The following is a 6,250-nucleotide window of genomic DNA, read 5'->3' as shown; positions in this document are numbered from 1 at the left end:
TTAGGAAGATCTCCTATATACTGTGTATTCTTGGATTTGAGGGTTTTTTTTTTCTTAACCCAATCTGAGGGACATTTAATAGAACATTTAAACCCATTTTATTTATTGTGAGTAGTGGTGTACTTAGATTTATTTCTAATTATCTTTTATTCCTAATTTTTTTTTTTTACCATGCTTTCTTATTCTTTTTAATTTCCAACTATTGGATTGCAGTTGTTTTCTAATGATTTGGGAATTCTACATTATGATCCTATTTTTTTGTGTGTGATAGCCTTTAAATTCATTTTTATCTGTTAAAATCTAGTGCTAATCAGAATACACATTATTCCACTGAATACTCTTAGTCTGGGTGGTGGGCAACTGACGACTTTGAGCTTGGAGGGCCTCCTTATTAAAGATGTATTTTCTTTCATTTTACGGGATTTGGGGTGGGAGGAGAAACAGGTACATGATGTCTTGGTTGCCAATTTGATCCAATCTCGATTCTGTTATTATAAGGGGAAAGTAACTGGAAAAGCTCATTTTAAAACAAAAAGATGAGAGGATCATTTTGGGAGATCAAGGTGGGTAGGTCACTTGAGGCCAGGAGTTCAAGACCAGCCTGGCCAACATGGTGAAACCTTACCCAGGCATGGTGGCACGCACCTGTAATCCCAGCTACTCAGGAGGCTGAGGCAGGAGAATCGCTTGAGCCGGGGAGGCAGAAGTTGCAGTGAGCCGAGATTGCACCACTGCACTCCAGCCTGGGTAACAGGTGAGACCCTGTCTCAAAAAGAATAAGGAGAGGGTTATACTCAAGGAAAAGGAATTTTGTTGTGGGAAGTTTTCAGGCATCAGAGTCCAGTTTATTTGGGGTCTTGGAGAGTTCTTAGGCCAACTCAAATTATAACACAAAGGTGAACTTCTCTTCCAAGCATGAGTTCAGCTCTGCTTGTTGTGTCCGGTTTGACACTTAGACAGAGAGGAATGAACGAAGGGAGCCTGCAGAGTCAGGATATGAGGAAAGCAGGAGTCTAGGAGAGCCAGAGAGACACCATTTTACAATCAACTCCATCTTAAAGCTAGTAAGGCACATCCTTGCCAGTCACATGGTCATAAGATGTTTACAGCTGAGAAAACAAGTCAAAGACACCTGCAAGGACACACCCCTATAACAACAGAAAGTCCACATGCCCCAATACCCATAGCAATATGTGCTTGTAAGATAATTACAGTTATGCGGCTGGGCGGGGTGGCTTACGCTTGTAATCCCAACACTTTGGGAGGCTGAGGCGGATGGATCACGAGATCAGGAATTCGAGAGAAGCCTGGCTAACATAGTGAAACCCCGTCTCTACTAAAAATACAAAAATTAGCTGGGTGTGGTGGCATGTGCCTGTAGTCCCAGCTACTTGGGAGGCTGAGGCAGGAGAATCGTTTGAACCCGAGAGGCAGTGGTTGCAGTGAGCCGAGACCGTGCCATTGCACTCTCTGAGCAACAGAGCGAGACTCTGTCTCAAAAAAAAAAAAAAAAAAAAAAAAAGATAATTAGAGTTATGCTTTGATGTACTTACACTCTTAAATGTCAAGGGTAGTTTTCTTTAAGTCAATAGAAGAATCCATTTTGTCATGCTGTCTGCCCATCTGCACCTAAACACAGCTTAGCTTTAGTCTCTACTTAGACAAGACCCTCTATGAGAAAAACTTAAAGATGGTGCGTTCCTCCGCTTGCTCTCTGAGGTCACCCTGCTCTGCAATGGAGAATTTCTAATAAACTTGCTTCTTTCACTGCATTCTGTGATTCACCTTGAATTCCTCCCTATGTGAGATCTGAAAACCCTCTCCTGGGGTCTGGATCGGGACCTTTTTTCTGTTAACAAGATGATAGCTTCACTTTCTGGCTAAAGAGTCAGGGCCACGGACAAGAAGCCAAGTCCCGTTGTAAGTTTGAGTGGTCATTACCAAGATTTGAGCTGAAGAGAGGTCAAAAGTTGTTGCAAATTACACCCAGGATTTGTTTTAACATGCAACATGAAAATTGCTGTCATGAGGGAAGAAGTTTTTTATATTCACAGACCCCTAGAAAGAGGAAGTACGGCACACCACGCAGGGTCACATGGGGAGGCACCAGGGTGGGTCAGGAGGGGGAGGGAGAGAGGCTGGAAACACCAGCAAGAGCCTTTATTGTGGTTTCCATGGTAACGGCCAGGCAAGGCAGGGCGAGCAGGCTGAGGACTGCCAGTGGGCTCTGCAGCATAGGAGCTGCCCCTAGTTTCCTCATACCTGGCCCTAGGGTAGTTAGGGCAGAGGCCCGGAGTTTCATCCTCTGTCATAGAGACAGGTGGGGGTGTGGACCTTGGATTGGCTGGTTTCCAATATGGAAGGCACACTTGCAGGCAAGTGGTTACCATCTCCAGGAATTAGCTGGCCCCGGGAAAGGTGGTCTCTCCAAGATCAGCAAGGCCGCAGATGCCAAATCATCAGCAAATACAGAAAATAAAACAACGTGAGGAATACAAAAGTTTCAGTTCAACATGGGAACTGAGGATCATGAAACAAGGATAGTCAAAGTGCTGGCAAATTGGAAGGGAAGAAATGGTTATATGGGAGTTAGCCAGACATGGTGGCACACACCTGTGGTCCCAGGTACTATGGAGGCTAAGACAGGAGGATACCTTGGGCCCAGGAGCTCAAGGCTGCAGTCAGCTACAATCACACCACTGCACTCCAGCCTGGGCAACAGAGAAAGACCCTGCCTTTAAAAAATAAATTATAAAAATAAAATAAAATAAATGGTTATATGAGGACCTACTAGTTCTTTAACAAGGACCTCTGGGGATGCTTTAAGGCTGCCCACAAACAGGCTGACTTTAGCCTTCTAGTGTCTTATGTCTAATGTCTTAAAGGCAAACCTTCATGTAGTTTAGAAACAGAAAATGGTCTTCCCAGCTAGAACATTTTGTCTCCCCAGCTCATGGAACACAAAAATAAAGGCAAATGTCTGTGCAAAGAATTTTTTTTTAATGAGTGAATTTATGTGAAAAACTTGACAAAGATATACAATTTAAATCACATTTAACTGGTACATTTAGCAATTCATCTCCATTCCAATGAATAAAATAACAACCATCTGAGCTATTCCAGAAAAACCCTGCAAGGCAGCCTGCTCCTCTGCGTGCGGGGACGTCTGCTTTCCATTAGGTTGAGGATAGATCCAGCTCCCCCTGCTGATGCACTTCCAAGGAAAAGGCAGACGAAGGGAGAGGCTGCCAGGCTGGCAGAAGGGCACATGTACAGGATGGCCATGTGCAAATCCACCCAAGTGGACCAGCCATATTCCCTGCAATCTCTGATGCAGCCAAGTCCAGCTGAGACATTAAACAGAGTCCGTGGTGACAGGAAGCTGAGGCTGCCTAGAGCCAATGCGTCTGGTGTAATTGAAAAGGTCTTTGGCCAGTGGCACTGGGGGCAACAAGTGCCGTCCTCTGAGATGGCTGAGGCCATTCCTCCACCCCCTTCCTCTGCGGTCTTGGCAACTGCACTTGCTCCAGCACAAAGAAACGCTGAAGCTGCAGGACGGTAGTGACCCAAAAGAAAGAAGGGTACCGTCAATTCCTTCTCAGCTTCCCATCAGGACAGAGGCATCGAAGCCACTGGCTATGGGTTCCCATCCATTGTTGTAACCATCAAACATGAGCACACTCCCTCCAAGCCAGGAACTGGGCAACGTGCTGTGTGCATAACCCAGCTATGTGCTGGTGATGCCAAGAAAAACCCCAGGCTGCCCTTTCATAAGGTCAGCACCCAAGACCCGGGCGAAGAAGGAAGGAGAGCAAGGAGTCTCCCAAAACCAGCAATCACTTCTCGCTGGTTGGACCGGACAGTGCTGGGAGTGGAAACAAGACACATCCTCTCCACTCTCAGGAATTCAGTCTAGTGAGGAAGCCAAGGAAGGAATGCAAACAAACACTTCTGAGCCGACGTGGTGTGTACAGTGAGAGGAGTGTGGATTTAGCATAGAAATAGCACAGTGGGGCATTTGAGCTGCATTTTAAAGCATAGAAAGGATTTCAGCAGAGCAGGGAGGAGAGAGAATTGATGATCCAGCCAGAGGAGCACAGTGTGCACAGGCAGGGAGGCAGATGCTCAGCACACGCTCAGGAGAGGCAGGGGGCTGACTGCGGCTGGAGGGAAGAAATGCAGGGGCCAAGAGGGTCCCTCTTAATAGTCAGAGGGACCAGGGGGTGGGAGGCCCTGGAAAGCCAGAGAGGAGGTTATGTGCAGTTGGTTCATCCATCAGTCATTTTTTTCTTTTTATTAAAGACGGAGTCTCACTCTGTCACCCAGGCTAGACTGCAGTGGCGCAATCTCGACTCACTGCAACCTCCATCTCCTGGGTTCAAGCAATTCTCCTGTCTCAGCCTCCCAAGTAGCTGGGATTACAGGCACGCACCACGATGCCAAGCTAATTTTTTGTATTTTTAGTAGAGATGGGGGTTTCACTATGTTGGCCAGGCTGGTCTCGAACTCCTGACCTCTGGTGATCCACCTGCCCTGGCCTCTCAAATTGCTGGGATTACAGGTGTCAGCCACCGTGCCCAGCCCATCAGTTATTTTTGAATTAGGGGCATGAGGTCAGAGCTGCACTTTGGGAGATCTCTCTGGCCACATTGGTGAGGTGGGGCAGGAAACTCCAGAGGCAGAAGACGGTCAAGGCCTTGACAATGGTCACACGGGAGGGAGGGACTCCTGCCTAGAGGTGACGGCCCAGGAAATGAGGGCCATGAAAGGAAAGAAGCAGCCAGACTTGGAGCAGGAAAGGGGAGGCCATGGAGAGAGAAAAGCTAGATATGACTTGAGTTTCCAGCACAAAAGACTGAGAAAAGAGTGATTTAATAAGGAGAAAGGAAAGAGGAAGGCAGAAAGGAGGGCTGCTCACAGAGAGGTTCTGAGTTCTGAGAGGTGCCCAAAGGTGGGAGGTTACTGGTAGATGCAGGGCTGGTGCTGCGAGGAGAGGTCACGGTAAGGGACAATCATGACATCCATTGGGACAGCACTTATTTACATGGTCCCCTGGATGCTCCTGCTCATGACACCTGGTGAGGTTGGCTCAAGCTGGTGTCATTTCCACCAGCTGAGCGATAAGAAAACAGGAAGAGTCCTGCTAGAATTAGAGCCTGGGTAAGTGCCCGAGTCATTTACCCAGTGAGCTGAGATCACGCCACTGCACTACAGCTGGAGCGACAGAGCAAGACTAGGTCTCAAAAAAAAAAAAAAAGAATTTGTCAAACGGATGAATAACTAACTGGACCCTCCATGGCGTTCTTCCTTTCCTGAGCTAAGGAAGTTTGTCTTGGACCCCATGGACGGTCCAGTTAGTCATTCACTCATTTGACAGATTTTTTTTTTTTTTTTTGTGAGACAAAGTCTTGCTCTGTCACCCCAGCTGGAGTGCAATGGCATGATCACAGCTCCCTGGAATCTCAACTCCTGGGCTCAAGCAATCCTCCCACCTCAGCCTCCCTAGTAGCTGGAATTACAGGCCCATGCTACTATCACTGGCTAATTTTTTTTTTTTTTTTTTTTGAGACAGAGTCTTGCTCTGTCGCCCAGGCCGGAGTGCAATGGCACGATCTCAGTTCACTGCAAGCTCTGCCTCCTGGGTTCACGCCATTCTCCTGCCTTAGCCTCCCGAGTAACTGGGACTACAGGCGCCACCACCATGCCTGGCTAATTTTTTATTTTGTGTAGAGGTAGGATCTCACTATGTTACCAGGGCTAATCTTGAACTCCTGGGCTCTTTTCCTAATATTTAAAACTTAACAAAAGTCTTTGTTCTTCACTAAGTACCAACAATTGATGTCTATGAAGGAGGTTTCCAATACACCATGTCCATGGCAGCCTCATTCACAATAGCCAAAAGGCAAAAGCAACCCTAGGTCCATCAACAGATGAATAGATGAACAAAATGTGGTTTACCCACCCAATGGAATAGTATTTGGCCTTTAAAAAGGGAGGAAATTCTGACCCATGCCACGACATGGGTGAACTTTGAGGATATTATGCTAAGTGAAGTCAGCCAGACACAAGAGGATGAATATCAAGTGATTATACTTACATGAGGTCCCTAGAGAAGTCAAATTCATAGAGGCAAAAAGTAGAGGCTGGGTGTGGTGGCTCACATCTGTAATCCCAGAACTTTGGGAGGCTGAAGTGGGAGCGTCACCTGAAGCAAGAGGTTTGAGACCAGCCTGGGCAACATAGTGAGACC

The 6,250-nt window shown here is 46.9% G+C and overlaps 1 annotated feature.

The window, feature by feature from the left end:
* Positions 2,005-2,054: an enhancer, noted in NCBI's record as "active region_27128". NCBI's record gives its function as "activates an Ori minimal core promoter by ATAC-STARR-seq in GM12878 lymphoblastoid cells {active_cell/tissue: GM12878}" and the evidence as "EXISTENCE:reporter gene assay evidence [ECO:0000049][PMID:35858748]".

The sequence above is a fragment of the Homo sapiens genome, chromosome 8 (genome assembly GCF_000001405.40).
Source record: "Homo sapiens chromosome 8, GRCh38.p14 Primary Assembly".
In the NCBI taxonomy this organism is placed as follows: domain Eukaryota; kingdom Metazoa; phylum Chordata; class Mammalia; order Primates; family Hominidae; genus Homo; species Homo sapiens.
This window is presented reverse-complemented; position numbering and strand designations above follow the sequence as displayed.